Source organism: Homo sapiens, chromosome 18 (assembly GCF_000001405.40).
Source record: "Homo sapiens chromosome 18, GRCh38.p14 Primary Assembly".
Taxonomy (NCBI): Eukaryota; Metazoa; Chordata; class Mammalia; order Primates; family Hominidae; genus Homo; species Homo sapiens.
Window position 1 is genome coordinate 674,815 of NC_000018.10, and position 17,694 is coordinate 692,508.

General features: G+C 48.3%; 1 protein-coding gene across 46 annotated transcripts in view, besides 1 other annotated feature; it reads right to left on the minus strand.

Moving 5' to 3' along the window:
• Positions 1-17,694, minus strand: part of ENOSF1 (enolase superfamily member 1) — a 49,645-nt gene that overhangs the window by 11,829 nt on the left and 20,122 nt on the right. For 10 of the 46 annotated variants that reach the window (XR_007066189.1, NR_148706.2, XR_007066184.1 and 7 more), the window contains 10 exons: positions 16,390-16,462; positions 16,254-16,292; positions 15,735-15,817; positions 13,760-13,794; positions 11,107-11,194; positions 8,432-8,566; positions 3,882-3,923; positions 2,929-3,058; positions 2,531-2,630; positions 507-588 (listed from right to left, as the gene is read on the minus strand). Coding sequence is in view for 25 of the 46 variants with exons in the window: in XM_024451208.2 (XP_024306976.1) it covers positions 507-588; positions 2,531-2,630; positions 2,929-3,058; positions 3,882-3,923; positions 8,432-8,566; positions 11,107-11,194; positions 13,760-13,794; positions 15,735-15,817; positions 16,254-16,292; positions 16,390-16,462 (807 nt within the window). In the remaining 21 variants the exon portion in view is untranslated. Of the gene's footprint in view, positions 1-506; positions 589-2,530; positions 2,631-2,928; positions 3,059-3,881; positions 3,924-8,431; positions 8,582-11,106; positions 11,195-12,472; positions 13,023-13,704; positions 13,795-15,734; positions 15,932-16,253; positions 16,293-16,389; positions 16,491-17,694 lie in introns of those variants that run through there. The other 36 variants (XR_007066188.1, XR_007066183.1, XR_007066182.1 and 33 more) reach the window with 16 other exon arrangements.
• Positions 11,320-11,908: an enhancer, noted in NCBI's record as "OCT4-NANOG-H3K4me1 hESC enhancer chr18:686134-686722 (GRCh37/hg19 assembly coordinates)". NCBI's record gives its function as "activates a minimal SCP1, AML or CMV promoter by ChIP-STARR-seq in primed H9 embryonic stem cells {active_cell/tissue: H9 hESC(primed)}" and the evidence as "EXISTENCE:reporter gene assay evidence [ECO:0000049][PMID:30033119]".

The window sequence follows — 17,694 nt, forward strand, 5'->3', positions numbered from 1 at the left end:
CAGCCCTGAATTAATATTTTTAAAATAAGTTTGGAGACTGTTGGAAATAATAGGGCAGAGGAACATATTTTACTGGCTACTTGCCAGAGTTAGTTAACTCATCAAACTCTTTGATAATAGTTTGACCTCTGTTGGTGAAAATGAGCCATGATCTCTTGAACATGATCAGAATAAATGGCCCCAGCCACACAATTGTAGTCCAAACTTTTTAGGTCACTAACTTGCTAGATGGTGCCAGGTTTTTTTGCACAAGGAGTGCAAATGTTAAGATCTCCACTAGTGAGGAAAGGCTAGTATTACAGAAGCCTTGTCAGAGGCAATTGAACCTCCAAGCCCTGGCCCTCAGGCCTGAGGATTTTGATACAGACAAACTGAAGAACCGTTTGTTAGTGGATATTGCAAACAAACAGGAGTCAAAGCTTGGTGCTCCACAGTCTAGTTCACGAGACAGGCGTGGCAGTGGCTGGCAGCATCTCTTCTACAGGGGCCCTCAGGCCACAGCTTACCTTGGGAGGCATGTAGGAAGCCCGCTGGATCATCACGGGATACTTGAAATGCTCATGCAGGTGGTCAACATACTCACACACCCTAGGAGGAGGGAATCAGATCGGGGCAATGATGCCTGAAGTCAGATTATTCACGTGGTGCTAACTTAAAGCAGAAGGAGCGAGTACCACTCAATTGACAGTGTTGGCCAAGGCTTAGCTGTGTTACCATGCGTTTCTAGGCAAGTCCCTAAACCTCTGTGCCTCAGGTCCTTTTCTTCTAAAATATAGCAATGTGAGGTGGGGACTTTGATGACATGAACACACGAAGTCCCTCTAGAGGTTTTGTGGTGCCCTTTAAAAGGGATCAATTCAGACTCTGTAAATATCCAGAATTATTTGGGTTCCTCTGGTCAAAAGTCAGATGAATAGATTAAAATCACCACATTTTGTGATCTATTTTTCAAGAAGCGTTTGTATTTTTTCACATGGCTGCAGCAGCTGCCAGGGGCTTGGGGTTTTTTTGGCAGGTAGGGTTGGGAGGGCCATTTTGTCACTGCCTCAGCTGGGCATCTAGGAAGCATTAGCACTGTGAGGCTTTCTCGGTACACTTTGTACCTGGAAAACAATCCGAACAGGTCCATGGGACCACAACTGAGGGAGGTGGGACACACCCACCTCCATCCAAGAACCAAGACATCTAAGGAAGCAAACCCAGATGCAGAACAATAAAATACATTCCATACTCCCCACCCAAAAAATAAAATCACCAAATGAGGTTCCTTTCAGCTATACAAATGATTTAGATGAAGAGCAGAGGATTTAGAATCAGGTCAATCTGTGTTCAGGTTCTGCGTCAGCCACTTTGTAGTTCTGAGGCTTGGGGCAAGTGACCGAGCTCTGCTGCCTGACTTCCATCGCCTGTTATTGAACAGCTGTGACAGGCAGGCTGATATGGTTTGGATTTGTTTTGGATTTGTGTCCCTGCCCAAATCTCATGTTGAACTGTAATCCCCAGTGTTGGCAGCAGGGCCTGCTGGGAGGTGATTGGATCATGGGAAGTGGTCCTTCATGAATGGTTTGGCACCCGTTCCTTGGTGCTGTTCGAGATAGTTATCACAAGATCTGTTGTTTAAAAGTGTGTAGCACCTTCCCCCCTCACTCTCTCTTCCTCCTGCTCTTGGCCATAAGAAGTGCTTGTTCCCCCTTCACCTTCCATCATGATTGTAAGTTTCCAGAAGCTGAGCAGAAGCCGCTATGCTTCCCGTGCAGCCTGCAGAACTGTAAGCCAATTAAACCTCTTTTCTTTATAAATTACCCAGTCTCAGGTATTTCTTTATAGCAGTGCAAGAATAGACTAATACAGTATAAAATAGTTCGGCTATATTAAAAGACAGCACCTGTCTACTCACTACCCCCCTGAAGAGAAAAACGGTTACCATTATTACTGAAGCCTCCTATGTACCCTCAAGGGTCCCATTTATCACTCACAGTCCTGAATTTGGTGTTTCCCTTTCCCAGTGAATGCTTTTGTGCCTTTGCTATATACTTGCAGTGATCTTTCTGTGAGACATTTAATTCCAGGAGACAAGAAAAGTGGAATAAGCAAAACCCTACGTGTGCAGATGACTGGAAGGAGATTGTCCTAATTTAAAAGCCCACCTGGGGCGTTCTGAGAAATAAGATGAAATAAATGTGTGTCTAGACCATGGAAGACTCCAGTACTGGGAAGAGGAGATGGGACAGAAGTACAGAATACACGTGATGAAAACAGGAGCTGGTTAAGGGAGTAGTGTGGCTGCAAGCCTTACCTTCAATGTACTTAAAAAATAAAGTGAGTCAGCTACCAGACCCTATCTTAGGAGGCAAAATGACCGTTCATTGGTGGGTCTCTGTGAAAGCAAAACCAACTCCGCCTGAGAGTTATAGGACATGCCAGCGGACAAGGTCTTAGTGTGTTCTGGTCATGAAGGCAGAATTTACAAGCTCTGGCCTGGATTGAGGGACCCTACTGAAACAGAAAGTATTAATGCCACATTACTGACCTATTTTCAAGGCTTGCAGAAACTGATATGTAGTCAAATATAATCAGGTGCTGCACCAGTTCACAGAGGCCAACTCCACCAGCATGGGGGCAAACAGGAACTAAAAGGAAATCGTTTCTATTTAATACCAAGAGTAGGGCAGGGAGAGGAAGGGGTGAAAGGGAACTTTCTGGTTTTTCTTATTGCCCACAGGTGATTAAATCATTTATTAATATTTAGGAAGGAAATTCCAAGATGAAAATCATCAAAAATTCCCGGATTAAAGCTAAATGAGAGTTAGAAAAAAATCGAAATGGCAAACTACAGACTCCCATGCATGTGAATTGCAAACCATCAAGGGAGGTGTCTGATTAGTGGGGAAATGAAGGTCTGGTCTGCAGCCGCTGCAGCACGCTTACTTTCAAACTTTTTGGCCATCAGCAATACTGAGAGGTTCTCATTGACACTGCCCAGTCTGCAACTGTCAATCTGGAGGAACTGCAGGGCCTTCGCCTGTAGGAGTTGCTTAAATATCACTCTATTGTGGCACTGGAAATAGAATTGAAAATAACACCAACAGAAGAGTCAGCCTTGGCCTTCAGGATCTCTAAACCTGGCAACGCAGCCACTCTATGCCAATAATTATTCATCAGTGGCCGTCAGGAAGCCCAGACTGTATTTCTTCTTTGTTCTCGCTGGGCATGAGGCGAGCTTTTATAGCGTGGGCAGGGACCTTGTGCTCACTTCTTTACAAATCTGCTAATGCAACAGTGTGAGTCAGGTCAAAATCACACTGGCTCGCCATTTATGAGGGAATGACTGTCACAGCGACTGATAAGTGGGAGATGAAGCATCAGGATGAAATACGGTGACAGTGATGAGCAGGTGGCACAGATGACAACACGGAACCACGGCAGAGCAGTATTGCTCCTTTTGCCGGGAAAACTGAGAATCAGCTCCTCACGCTGCTCTGCTCGTGGGCTGACTGCAGCAGGTTTTGGCAGGCACTCGGGCTTCATTTATAAGCTCAAAAAGTGAACGCAGTCATGTTTATTCAATTTGAAAGCTGGCTTTCTTAAGACCATTTTCTGCCCTTGCAATAGCAACTTTAAATTGCTGCCTTTTCAATTTCAATTAGACACTTTGAAAAAGATACCCGACCTTAGTCATATAAATTGGAGAAATAGCCACAAACTTTTTCTATATCTGACTCTAGACTCTGATAAAATGACCCAGTTTCTAAGATGATGAAAATTTCCCAACTCAAAGTACAGCAGGTGATGGAGCCTAACACACAACTGTGTCCTCGGTCACTGGTCAGCGTGTACTGACCCCAAGGGGACGTCATCCACCTGTTGGGGGCGTCACTCACCTGTTCTCCTGTGGCAATGCCAATTCCTAATGGGACCAGTGCCTATAAAATAGAAGGCAGCCTGGTGTTATTTTCCTAAGTTTTGAACTGCAACTCCTAATGTTTAAAAACATTTATAGCTGAAGGAGGAAACGGCCCTGCTGTTAAGCCATGTGAAGGCTCAAGACTGGCAAAGGATGTCCAGGGGAACACATGCGTGCGGGAGGGCTCTGTGTATCTGCAGAGGAGAAGGTGAGCACTGCTGAGCTGCCACCACCAGCCCCGTTCCTGACCAGGGCTCTGCAGATCTCCTTCTGCGGTGTCCCGGCCCATGCTCCAGCTGCGCTCCTCCCAACGTGGACAGCACCTCCCTCTCCAGCCTGCGCAGTGGCATAAGGACAGGGCTATTCGGAGTGGCTCATTGTGGACTCACAGGGTCCAACCTTTGGACGACTCCTTCCTGTGGGTCATCACTCCATCAATTCCCTTCTTCTTGCCTCCCTGAGAAACCTCCTTCTAGAACCCTCTCATATCTTTTTTTTTTTTTTTTTTTGAGACCGAGTCTTGCTCTGTCACCCAAGCTGGAGTGCAGTGGCATGATCTTAGCTCACCGCAACCTCCACCCCCCAGGCTGAAGCGATTCTCGTGCCTCAGCCTCCTGAGTAGCTGGGATTAGAGGTGCACGCCACCATGCTGGCTAATTTTTGTATTTTTAATAGAGTCAGGGTTTTGCCATGTTGGCCAGGCTGGTCTCAAACTCCTGACCTCAGATGATCCTCCCGCCTCGGCCTCCCAAAGTGTTGGGATTACAGGTGTGAGCCACTGCACCTGGCCTCATGTCTTTGTTGATTCCAAAATCCTCTTCCTTAAGGCAGGAAAAATCCATGAAAAAAAAAAAAATCCTCTTCCTTCCAGCTCAGTGGGTGGCCTCAGACCTCAATCTGCAGGTTAGGCTGAGACCATTGCTCACCTGGTAGAGTCCTCACCTGGTGAGGTACTGGACTCTGCACCTGAACACAGCCCTGCTGCTCTCTGTCCTCTCACCTGGCCCCTGAACACTACCTCCGTCACCTGCCACCTGGACTCTGGGCGCTCCCATCCATCCTCTACTGTGACTGCGACTCCACAGCTACTCCGCACAGGTAGCCTTGGTTCCTCCCTGGCTTCCCTTCCCTTTGCTTAGGGTAATAGTAATCACACTGACAGCTAACATTTTTGGAGCTCTGAGTACCTGTCAGGTGCTGTGCAAAACACTGACTTAAATGATTCCTGGTCTCAATCCAATGGGAGAGGAGCCAGCGTTATCCCCATTTTATAAAAAATGATAAAACTGTGTGCCGGGTTTGAACTGTTCCTGGATCACAAAGCTAGAAAGTGGTAGAGACTGGGTTGGAACTCCACTGATTCCAGAGCCAGAGGAGGCATCTGAATAATCAGACTAAGCCAACTTCTCAGCAGAAAAATCCCTTCACTCAGCAGCCAAGTATCCCTGATTCCGGTGCTGGCCCCGCATCTCACGGGATGTGTGGCCTTGGGCAAGCCCCGCCTGTGCCACCCAAAGCCTCGGCCTCCTCATCTGCAGAAGGCCTTAGTTTGAGCAGATGGTCTCTAAGGCACCTTTTCAAGCCAACATTTTATGCTTCTTAAAATTTCTAATTTAAGTACTCTTGGTTATTTATCTCCAAAGAGAAGAGAAAGGGAGAAACGGAGGAAGGGGGAGGAGGAAAGGCCATTTGACTTATTTGTTCTACCATTTTAAGCATATATGGCAGACTAGGGGCCAAATGTTTTTCCTCCTTTTCAATATTTCCTGAATCTGCTCTATTCAAGCTGCCCTCTCCCTTTATCTCTCTCAGATTCCTGGAAAAGCCTCCTCGCTCCCATCCCTGCCTGGGTTTCTCCCTGCCCATTCCTCACCTCCCACACACCCTCTGTCTCAATGGACTCTACATGTAGCCACCAGTCACATTATCTGTGCTTCAGCTGTCACTATGCTGTTGTGTTTTTTTTTTTTTTTTTTTTTTGAGATGGAGTATTGCTCTGTCGCCCAGGCTGGAGTGCAATGGCGCAAACTTGGCTTACCGTAACCTCCACTTCCCAGGCTCAAGCCATTCTCCTGCCTCAGCCTCCTGAGTAGCTGGGATTACAGGCACACATCACCGCGCCCTGCTAATTTTTTTTTTTTTTCTGAGATGGAGTCTCGCTCTGTCACCCAGGCTGGAGTGCAGTGGTGCGATTTTGGCTCACTGCAAGCTCCTCCTCCTGGGTTCACGCCATTCTCCTGCCTCAGCCTCTCCGAGTAGCTGGGACTATAGGTGGGCGGATCACGAGGTCAGAAGATCGAGACCAGCTAATTTTTGTATTTTTAGTAGAGACGAGGTTTCACCATGTTGGCCAGGCTGGTCTCAAACTCCTGACCTCAGGTGATCCACCCACCTCGGCCTCCCAAAGTGCTGGGGTTACAGGTGTGAGCCACTATGCCTGGCCACTATGCCGTTCTTTCATCGGAGAAGCTGCGGTGGCTCACTCTGACTGGCTGCATCCTCTGAGTGGACAGACCCCATAATCCAGCCCCACGTGGCAGCCTGTCCCTGGCATGTGCCCTGTGCTCCCTGGGGCATCTCCACTGCCCCCGCCTGGACCTGCAGGCTCTGCAGCTGCTCCTTCCTCAGATACTCCTAAGGGGATGGCCTCCCTCATGTAAGCAAAACCTGGGAGGGTTAGAGCCCTGAGGAGCTTCCTGTGAGATGCTCAGGTAGGCAGAGATCAGGTTGGTGCTAGGCCAGCTGGCATTCAGCAGGGCACAGCCAACCTGAAAGAGCCCTAAGGAGGAAAAAGCAAGTGGGACCCAAGGTGAAAAGTCTTGTTTCCCCGGGGCTCCTCACCTGAGATTCCTATTGTGGAATGATTCCTCAGAAAATTTGGGCTCTGTTTAAATAATGAAGGCTGTGGTCGCTCCATGGCTCCTGCTCACCCTTCCCTCACCTGAGGCTTAGCTTTCCTTATGGAGTCAGCTCTGGCCATCTCCCTCGTCCCAGCCCACACCCAACGTTCTCCTCAATGAACTTTTCTACTGTGCTTGGCATTCAGTGCCCTGGCCCAGTATCCTCCGGTCTTTGTTTCACATATCTCGGCTGTTCTCTCCAGCGAGGCTGCAATGTGGAAGGGGAGGGCATTTCTGAAACCCAGGCTTTGGCAGAGTATCCCACATAATGTAGATCATGTGCTGATTTGCTGAGAGAAACAGAGAACTGGTCCCTGAGTCCCCGACTCCACACCTCCAGTACGACCCATGAATTTATGTGGGATGCATCAAGGTGTCCCTCCTAGAACTGGAACCAAGACTGCTCCATCAGAGTTAAAGGTGTAAGATCAACACAAAATGGGGAGTGTATAGCTATGCAAAGTCACCTCAGGAAAAAATGTTCCTAGGCAGGCAGGATGTGGCTATAAGCCACATGAATGTACAGTCGTGTCACTGAATGACAAGGTTACCCTCTGAGAAATGTGCCGTTGGGCTGTTTCATCATTGTGTGAACATCATAGAGTGTACGTCCATGACCCTAGATGGTAGAGACTACTACACGCCCTAGGCTATATGGCATGGCCTATTGCTCCCAGGCTACAAACCTGTACAGCATGCTACTGTTCTGAACGCTGCAGGCAATTGGAACACAATGGCCAGTATCTAAACATACTTAAACATAGGAAAGGTAATGCGTTGCACCACATTACAATCTCTACAACGTCACTGGGCAATGAGTTTTTCAGCTCCATTATAAGCTTATGGGATTATATATACTGCGCCATTATATAGGCAGTCTTTCACTGACTGAAACATTGTTATGGGGCACATGACTGTGCCAAACCAGTTAGCGTGTAGGAGAAAAAAAATTATCAGATGAAAACACAAGGCCGGGCGCGGTGGCTCACTCCTGTAATCCAGCACTTTGGGAGGCCAAGGCGGGCAGATGGTCTGAGGTCAGGAGTTCGAGACAGGCCTGGCCAATGTGGTGAAACCTCATCTCTACTAAAAATACCAAAAAAAAAAAAAAAAAAAAAGCCAGGCATGGTGGCACACATCTGTAGTCCCAGCTACTCAGGAGGCTGAGGCAGAAGAATTGCTTGAACTCGGGAGGCAGAGGTTGCAGTGAGCCGAGATCATGCCATTGCACTCCAGCCTGGGCAACAGAGTAAGACTCTATCTCAAAACAAAACAAAACAAAACAAAAAAAACCACCAAAAAACAAAAAAAAAAAATGCTGTCACATTTCTGTATTTACAAAGCATAGGAACCATGTCTATTAACCTTCAAATTGCTGGTAGCCCTTCAACTTTTAGCAGCTTACTTTATCTAAAACAAACAGAAATAAGGGCAAAGTATAAGCTGAAGTAGAAAAAGGAATGTCAGGTCTGTAACCCCTGTATTTGTCACACATTACAATTATTTCAGCTACTTCAACAGGAAATGCAAGAGGGAACAAGTGAAGAAATTTTAGGATCTGTCCCCAGCACTCTGGAAAACTAAACAGAAAAATAAGCTGCCACAGCAGCAGCAGCCGTTTTCCTACCTTGGAAATGGTGGCGTGCCCCAGAATGTCATCAGGGGAGGTTGGCTCCTCAATCCACAATGGCTTGAACTTGGCCAGCTTGGACATCCACTCCACCGCCTCAGGCACATCCCAGCGCTGGTTGGCATCCATCATCTGCAAAAAGAGACTCTTCACAGGGAGGTCAGCCCTGAGCCAACCTCACAGCAGGGCTGCGGCTCCCAGGGAGGAAATGCTGTCACTCAGTGCCACCAACAGCTGAGTGAGACCCCCTAACGCCTCTGCTGAGGCCCAGCACACGGCCCTAACAAAAAGAGCCAGAGAGCAGCTGCTGAGACGGGGACTCTGGCTCCAGGTACAGTCTTTAGGAGGAGCCGTGAATCGCTTGAGGAGCCACTGGATGTCCAGCAGTGCCCTGGGCTGGGCCATGAGAAGTGCTCGCTGGCCCTGGGCTCTGGTCCAATCTCCATCTAGATGCCACCCAAATACATGTGTCTTGCAGTGTTGGTTCTGTTCGTAGAAACCATTTTGTCACATTCTGAATCATGCACAATCAACATTGTTTGTTCAATAGTCATTTATTGACTATTGCCCACTGTGTGTCTGGCACAATAATAAGTAGCCTTAACTCTCCCATAATGGCACACCTACTCCACTAGGCACTTTATGGATTTTGTTCCATTTAATATTTATAATAACTGGCCAGGCATGGTGGCTCATGCCTGTAATCTCAACACTCTGGGAGGCTGAAGCCCGTGGATTTCTTTTCTTTTTCTTTTTTTTTTTTGAGACAGAGTCTCGCTCTGTCACCAAGGCTGGAGTGCAGTGGCGCTATCTCGGCTCACTGCAACCTCTGCCTCCCAGGTTCACGCCATTCTCCTGCCTCAGCCTCCCGAGTAGCTGGGACTACAGGCGCCCACCACCACACCAGGCTATTTTTTTTTGTATTTTTAGTAGAGACGGGGTTTCACCATGTTAGCCAGGATGGTCTCAATCTCCTGACCTTGTGATCCGCCCGCCTCGGCCTCCCAAAGTGCTGGGATTACAGCCATGAGCCACTGCATCTGGCCCAGCCTGTGGATTTCTTGAGCCCAGGAGTTCAAGACCAGGCTGGGCAACATAGCAAAATCCTCTCTCTACAAAAAATACAAAAATTAGCTGGGTGTGGTGGCTCTCACTTGTAGTCCCAGCTACTCAGGGGGTTGAGGTGGGAGGATCCCCTGAGCCAGGGGAGGTCAAGGCTGCAGTGAGGTGTGATCATGCTGCTGTACTCTAGCCTGGGTGACTGAGTGAGACCCTATCTCAAAAAATAATAATAATAACCCCATGAGGCAGTTCATATTAACCCATTTTACAAATAAGAAAACTGTCATGCAGAGAAATTCAGTAACTTGCTTAAGAACAATAAATCTAGTGAATGGTGAGTTCAAGTCCAGTCCTCTCCCTCCTAGGCCCTGGCTCTCTGTGTACCACTATCCTTCTTGGAAGCCAGGTGATGGCTGTGCCCAGCTTAAGGGACAGCCCCTCATCCCTGATCTTATTGTGCTTGGAGAAATGGACATCTCTACAGAATGTGCTAAGTGATAAGAGCTCTCTCCCAGGACACTATGAAAACCAGAGGACAGTATGCTCAGAATGGATTTTTTTTTTTTAAGAGGCTGGATCTCACTCTGTTGCCCATGCTGGAGTGCAGTGGTATTATTGTAGCTCACTGCAGCCTCCAACTCCTGAGCTCAGTGATCCTCTTGCCCCATCTTCCAAAGTAGGAGGGATTACAGACATGCACCACCACACCTGGTTAATTTTTTTTCTTCTTTCTTTTAGAGAGAGAGTCTTGCTATGTAGCCCAGGCTGGTCCCAAACTCCTGGCCTCAAGTGATCCACCTGCTTCAGCCTCCCAAAGTGTTAGGATTATAGGCATGAGCCATATAATGCTAACACTTTTTTTTCTTGTATTTTTCGGTACAGATGGGGTTTTTCCATGTTGCCAGGCTGATCTTGTACTCCTGAGCTCCGGCAATCCACTCACCTAGGCATCCCAAAGTGCTAGGATTACAGGCATGAGCCACAGCATCTGGCCAGCCCAGAATCAATTTTTATCATAAGTTATTTGGATACAGATGACTTCATTAAAAAAAAAAAGCAGCATTAATTCATGTATAAATAGTGATCCTGGGTCAAGAACTCAAAATTTCTATTTTAACTTATGCAAAAAAGCCTCCAAAGCCTCATAAAAACATCTTACTGTGACTTTATGAAAATATTTTACACGTAAGAACTGGTTTATAAAAATACAAATCAGAAATGACTGATCCTTACATTTATCTCAGCTGAAGTTCCAACATTTCTTCAGTAATGGCCCCCTGACACCCTCCTACCTGAGGAGCTAGGAGGGGAGATTACATGATTGACACACCAGAGCACCAATGGGAAAACTGTTTGCTCAGGTACATCTGTGTTAGTAAGAAAGGATCCTTAACCCCAAACTTACTTAACTAGTTCTGCAGAATTAAAAAACGTAAAACTATTAGTCCCTTTGCTTATTTTTGTTTGAGCTCGCCTACTGCAAGACCACAGAAGTGTACTTCCTCTGACAATTAACTTTTTAAATTCCCAATGTTCTTTAATCTTGAAACGAGTTGTATTTAGCCCTGGACAAAGGCTACTGCTTCTTAGTGGTGTGAGAGGATATTTACCAAAGTCTTTTCCGGTCCAATCATGTCTCGGATGATTTGGCATCTTCGCATGTCATCCTGGAGATCAGCACCCACCTTTACTTTAAACCTAGAAAATGCATTTGGTTTGCTAGTTTAGACCTGTACCTGGACTTGGCAAGGGCATCTGGAGTTTCTGCAGAAGTGACCGTCTCTGTCAACAATTCACAGATATGTTTTTTAGTAACCTCTTGCTCTTTCCTCATCTTCAGATAAGTCACTTGAAATAAACCTGGGAACTTTATCTCTTCATTCAGTATCAGGGCAATGACTCTCAATTATCTGCTGACCTGGAGTTAAGGAGCTAGACAGGGAAGTCAGGTCTTTAATATAATTAACTCCGTTTTTGCCGGGCCATGAAAAGGAATTAAGAACAAAAAAGCCACAGTGAGAACTGAAGAGGAGAGCGGGGCTGAAAAGGGGTGCCGAGTAAGCCACACTGTGATAGACTGAATGGAAAGGGTCTGGTTTACAAAGGAGAGCTTTGTCTTGAATTAACTCAGTGAGAGGAAGGCCACAGGGATGGTCTGTCCCCTGCAGTGCAGGGGCCTGAGGTTCCGGGAGGGAAAGTGATGAGATCAGGTAACTAGGGAATAGCAGAGTGCGGCTGGAGCCTCCGTGCAGAGGTCTCCTTTACACCACATCCAGACACTTGTAGGGAGCTCCTTAATCTCTGTGGATGTCCAGCTGTTCTCTTGAGACATGGGCCTCTATGTCCACACCCTATGACTCTGCTGTCAGAAGAGTGTGTTGCTGGCCTCAGTGTGGGCACTGGCAGGTGGAGGAGGGGACACCACCACGGGGAGGCCAGCATCTGCCCCCTCGAACAGCAGCCTACCCTCCCTGTGCGCCTCCTTGGCTGAGGTCCCCCTGCTGCTTTGCAAAGAGCCCCAGCTTGCAGAGTGCCGCACATTCTCAGGCACCTGCTGTTCTCTTCTGTACCAGCTGGAGGCTTCAACTACATGATCCGTGATGCTCCAGAGAGGGTGGCTGGCCTTAGGCTCTGGGTGCCAGGCTTCCTGTGCTGGGAAGAGACCCTTTAAATCTCCCCACAGCCTTCTCTGACTCACCAGATACACTGCTGCAGCCTCCCCCGGGTATGCAGAGGGAGGGCAAACAGCACTTACAGCAGCTGCTCTGAATCCTGCCCTGTGCTGGTCCTTCTGAGATATGGCAACTTGGAGGAGGACCAAAGCTCATATTATTTCTACTGAGAGAAAATGAAGTTCAGAGAGGTTGAGTAATTGATCACACAGCAAGTACTTGCAGCGGATGAGGGGAAAAGGCAAGATGTGATTTCAGTTCTATCAGATGCCAACACCTCTTTCCGCGGCTTCATGCTGCCTCCTTCAAGTTCTCACTCCTCAAGCCTTTATTTAGCTGAGGCATTAACAAGAATTCAGTGCCTCTCCAACTTAAGAACGCATAGGAATCACTAGGGGATCTTGTTCCAATGCAGATTCCCAGGCAGCGGGTCTGGGGAGAGGCCCAGGCTGCATTTCTCACAAGCTCCCAGGTGATGCTGGAGCTCCTGCTCCACAGGACACACTGAGTAGCAGGAGGCTCAGAGACCAGAGTGGCTGCAAGTCAGATAGGAAGCCTGGTGACATGTCACAGGCAAAAAGTGCCACCGTGAGCTGTGCTGAGGGACACACAGTGACTGGGTCAAAAGAGATGATGGTCCCTCTGCATCCTGCCCTGTTTCAGGATGCAGGGTCATCAACCATCGAGGTTCATCCAGAGAAGGTCTTAGGATGGCCAGAGGTCTTTACCTGCACAGGCGAGAGTCAGAAGGGAGAAGTGCAGATGAGCAGTGTGGAAAGGAGGTGGCCTGGAGGGAGAGGAGGGCACTCAAGTGGAAGAGGAACAGCCTGGCTCTTGGGAACTGGGACCTCTGGCTGGAAATTACATGGAAGCAAAGGGTTGCTGATATTAAAGACCCACCTGGCTGGGTGCAGTGGCTCACGCCTATAATCCCAGCACTTTGGGAGGCTGAGGCAGGCGGATCACCTGAGGTCAGGAGTTCAGGACCAGCCTGATCAACATAGCGAAACCCTGTCTCTATTAAAAATACAAAAATTAGCCAGGTGTGGTGGCGGGTGTCTGTAATCCCAGCTGCTAGGGAGGCTGAGGCAGGAGAATGGCTTGAATCCGGGAGGTGGAGCTTGCACTGAGCCGAGATTGCGCCACTGCACTCCAGTCTGGGTGACGAGAGTGAAACTTCATCTCAAAAAAAAAAAAGAGAAGAAAAGACCCACCTAATACTCAAAGCCCTCAAAGAATGGAAAGTGCCTCACCAAGTTAAGCTCGCTGCCTCTGGAGATGTTCATGCAGAAACTGAATCAACGCTGTTACTGACAGTAAAGACTGGATTTCTACTCTAGGTTAGTGCCCGAAATAAACAATCTCCCAAGCCTCTTTCAACTCTGATGGCCTATAATTCTAATGAGGACTCACATCCTGCCTTTAGAGAAAGAGCCTGGCCTAAGGGGAAACTTCTCTTATGCATCCCTATGAGCCAGGGGGATCCTAGCCCGTGGGTGCCTTTTACTCCTTGGCTCCCTGCCAGGAGAGACTTACTGCCTGAGTCTCTCCTGCCGCCAACTGGGAAAGTCAGGTCCATCATCACACTCACCTGGTCCAGCCATCCTTCAGCGCCTGGGCACAGAGCTGTGGGAAAGGAGCACAGGGTCACACACTGGAGAGAGCCCCTTGGTCTGACCAGGAAGTCAGTCATTGCTGATCTGTTTCACAAGCATTACGGTTATAGCATAGACCAGAGTAACACCCATGTGTTGTTGAAATTAACAGCAGAAACAGCCTGGCTGACAGAGATCACTTTTTACTTGTAGGGTGACTTTCTTTCCTCATCTCTATGGGAACCATTTTTTTAATGGTCACAACCTTCCCGGAAGGGGAAGATAGCACTGATCTCTCTCTTTTTAAAGCTAGAATATTCTGTGGCATCCATAGAATGAGTGGATATAAGAGTAACATGCAGAAGCCAGCCTCTCTCTCCACTCTCTAGAAGTGGGCACAGTGTAAGGAGAAACAGTAATAAATCCACCATGTGCCGACTGCATGCCATGTGCCAGCCATGGTGCCTTGAGCATGACGCAACTTACAGCATGTATCTGAATCCTCAAAACCACCCCATGAAATAGGCATTACTTCTCAATCTCGCAGTGGGTCTACCGCTGGTGCTGCCCAGGAATCTTACCCTAGGCTGTCACCTTCCAGAGCCCAAGGTGACTCACTAAGTCACAGAGTCCTGCGGTCCACAAAATGAATGGCTTTGCATTTGCTTGTGTACTTTCAGAACGAGGGCTTGGATCCAAAATAATTTTTTTGTTGTTTTTTGAGACGGACTCTTGTTCTGTCACCCAGGTTGGAGGGCAGTGGCGTGATCTCGGCTCATTGCAACCCCTGCCTCCTGGGTTCAAGTGATTCTCCTGCCTCAGCCTCCTGAGTGGCTGGGACTACAGATACGCATTACCACGCCCAGATAATTTTTTGTATTTTTAGTAGAGACGGGGTTTCACCATGTTGGCCAGGCTGGTTTTGAACTTCTGACCTCAGGTGATCCACCCACCTCAGCCTCCCAAAATGCTAGGATTATAGGCGTGAGCCACTGCCCTCAGCCAAAATGATTTAGAGAGGTGAACAGGAAAGTATTAAATTTCTCCCAGAGAGGCTGGAATCAAAAGCCCATGTGACATAAGAAGGAATATATATTTTGTCTCTGCCCCCATCGCTGCCCCCCTATTTCCTAACACACAACACACAGCCCCTAAAACCCTTGGCATCTCCTGAGTGATAGGAGTGTCTTTTGTACGTGAACGAGAGAGCCCTGCTGAGGTCCCCTACGTAGCTTCAGGACGGGGCTGGGGACCAGAAAGACCTGAAAGGCATGATTGTGGGGTTGGAAACTTTAGCCTATTCCCAGATAGCTGGGGAGGCGAGGGGGCTGAAGGCTGAATTGATGGCCAATGGCCAAATAATGAATCACATCTAAATACTGAAGCCTCCATAAAACCCCCAAGGAACAGGGTTCAGAGAGCTTCCAGGTTGGTGAACACGTGGAGGTACTGGGAGTGTGGCTCACCTGGAGGGGACATGGAAGCTCTGTACCCCCTCCTCACACCTTGCCCTGTGTGTCTCTTCAGTTTGGCTGTTCTTAAGTTGCATCCTTTATAATAAATGAGTAAACATAAGTAGTGTTTCCCTGAATTCCGTGAGCCATTCCACCAAATGATTCAACTCAAAGCGGGGTTTGTGGGAACCTCTAATCTGAGGCAAAGCCAGTCAGAAGCACAGGTGACAACGTGGACTTGTGACTGGCATCTGCCATAGGGCAGTCCTGTAAGACTGAGCCCTTAACCTGTGGGGTCTGAGGCTAGTTCCAGGTATGTGCTGTCAGAATTGAGTAAAATAGCAGGACACCCAGTTGGTGTCCACAGAGAAGTGGAGAACTGGTTGGCGTGAGAAGGAAAACCACACACATCTGGTGTCAGAAGTGAGGTACTGAGAGTAGTGGTATGAGGACAGAAGGAAAAACAGGTTGGTTTCTCCCCATTCAGCTGTCTACAAAGCCAGGTTAAAATGCCCACCTGCTTCAACGTGTCATCTGAGTACCCCAGCCAGGCGCACGATGTCGTGTAAGCAGGGTATCCTTGTGCCAGCATTTGCTTCTCTGTGAAAACACAGCGCCGTCAACATTTTGCACTTTCCAGGGCCCTTCGGAATTGGAAGTGCCTGTAGCTAAGCTGTTTCCCCTGGAGAGTCCAGCTGTTCTCCTGATCCGGCCCTGCACACACACACCCAGCCACAAATTACTAGGATGTCAAACCCAGGTGATCAGGATACTCTCACGGACTGCCCTGCTCCCCCAGGGCTCTCCCTACAGTGTAATCCTAAAGCCAAACTTCCTTTCAGCAGTGGCTGAAGCAAACTCTGCAGTCAGAGGTCATACCCAGCAGGCTTCACCATGCAGACTTGAATGTTGATTTGAGGGCCTAGCTGCTCAGCACAGGGCATTTGGGAAGACAATGTGTACCCCAAAAGGACAGGGGCACTCAAAAGTGGACAATGTTAGCAAAAACAATGAAGAAAATTTTCTTACAACCCACCTCTTTCTTTTTTACCAATTTGACCTTTCTGCAGTATTTCTGGAAGAAATAAAAAGCATCACTCACTCTTTTAGGAAACAAAGCATGCCACTACTGTGTGTGCACGTCGTGTATCCCAGAAAGCTTCCAAACTCACCTAGGGCATCCTCCTCAGTCAGGACATCAGTGATGTACCTGAAATCTATGCAGGATACCAGCATCCTGGGATCCTGGCAACGTGACAGGAGGGGAAGAGGCCTGAATCAATTATAAGGTGGGTTATATTTTGTTTTTTAAAATTTATTATTCTTTTTTTAGAGACAAGGTCTCACTCTGTTGCCCAGGCTGGAGTGCAGTGATGCCATCATAGCTCACTGCAGCCTCAGTCTCCCTGGCTTATGTGATCCTCCTGCCTCAGCCTCCTGAGTAGCTGGGACTCCAGGTATGTGCCACTATGCCCGGCTAATTTATTTTTATTTTTGTAGAGATGGGGTCTCACTATGTTGACCAGGTTGATCTTGAGCTCCTGGCTTCAAGCAATCCTCCCTCCTTGGCCTCCCAAAGTGCTGGGATGACAGGGGTGGGTTATGTTTCTAAGAAGTTGCTTATGGTGATACATGGGGCTCATTCTTTCCTGGCAGGGACCTTTAGGGCTTTGTTAAATTGTTTGACTCTGTCATTCCTAAATGTAGAGTCCTTTAGAGGCTCCTCACTGCCCCTGACGAAGCCCTCAAACGCTCATGCTCTGATCCCTTGCCACCCGCCCCCACCCTGTTCTTTCCAGCTAAAATGACTTCCCGGAAGGAGGACCTGGCCCCAGGCAAACACTCAGCAGGAGCTCAGTGGGGAGATGAACGCCTGGCATCACTCTGTACATCAGCGCCACACCGCAGGGCTGTCCACGGTGAGCTATGAGGCTGGAGATGGTTCTGGAGCAGTGAACTGCAGAGGAAAGAAGGCTGCCCTACCCCTGGGCCACCAATCACTAGCAGTGTGACCTCCGGCAGCTTCTTCTCCTGCCAAATGGGGATGTTTGCTTCACTGACAGAAACACAGTGGGTGAACCGGGAGTGAGCGGCCCACTTGGCTGACCACTTACCAACATTTCGGCGGGGCCTCGTGCTGAGACCTCTCCCCACCCTGACGGAACAGTCAGTTGGAAAACAGCCAGTAGTTCCATTCCCACTAACATCTTATAGTGACCAATAATACTCTACCATAACTGTCGAAAATCCTAAAAACTCTTTCAACCCTGAGATTCTACTTCTAAGAGTTCTGGGCCAGGTTCGGTGGCTCACATCTGTAATCCCAGCACTTTGGGAGGCTGAGATGGGTGGATCACCTGAGGTCCGGAGTTCGAGCTCAGACTGACCAACATGGTGAAACCCCGTTTTCACTAAAAATACAAAAAATTAGCTGGGCATGGTGGCGGGTGCCTGTAATCCCAGCTACTCAGGAGGCT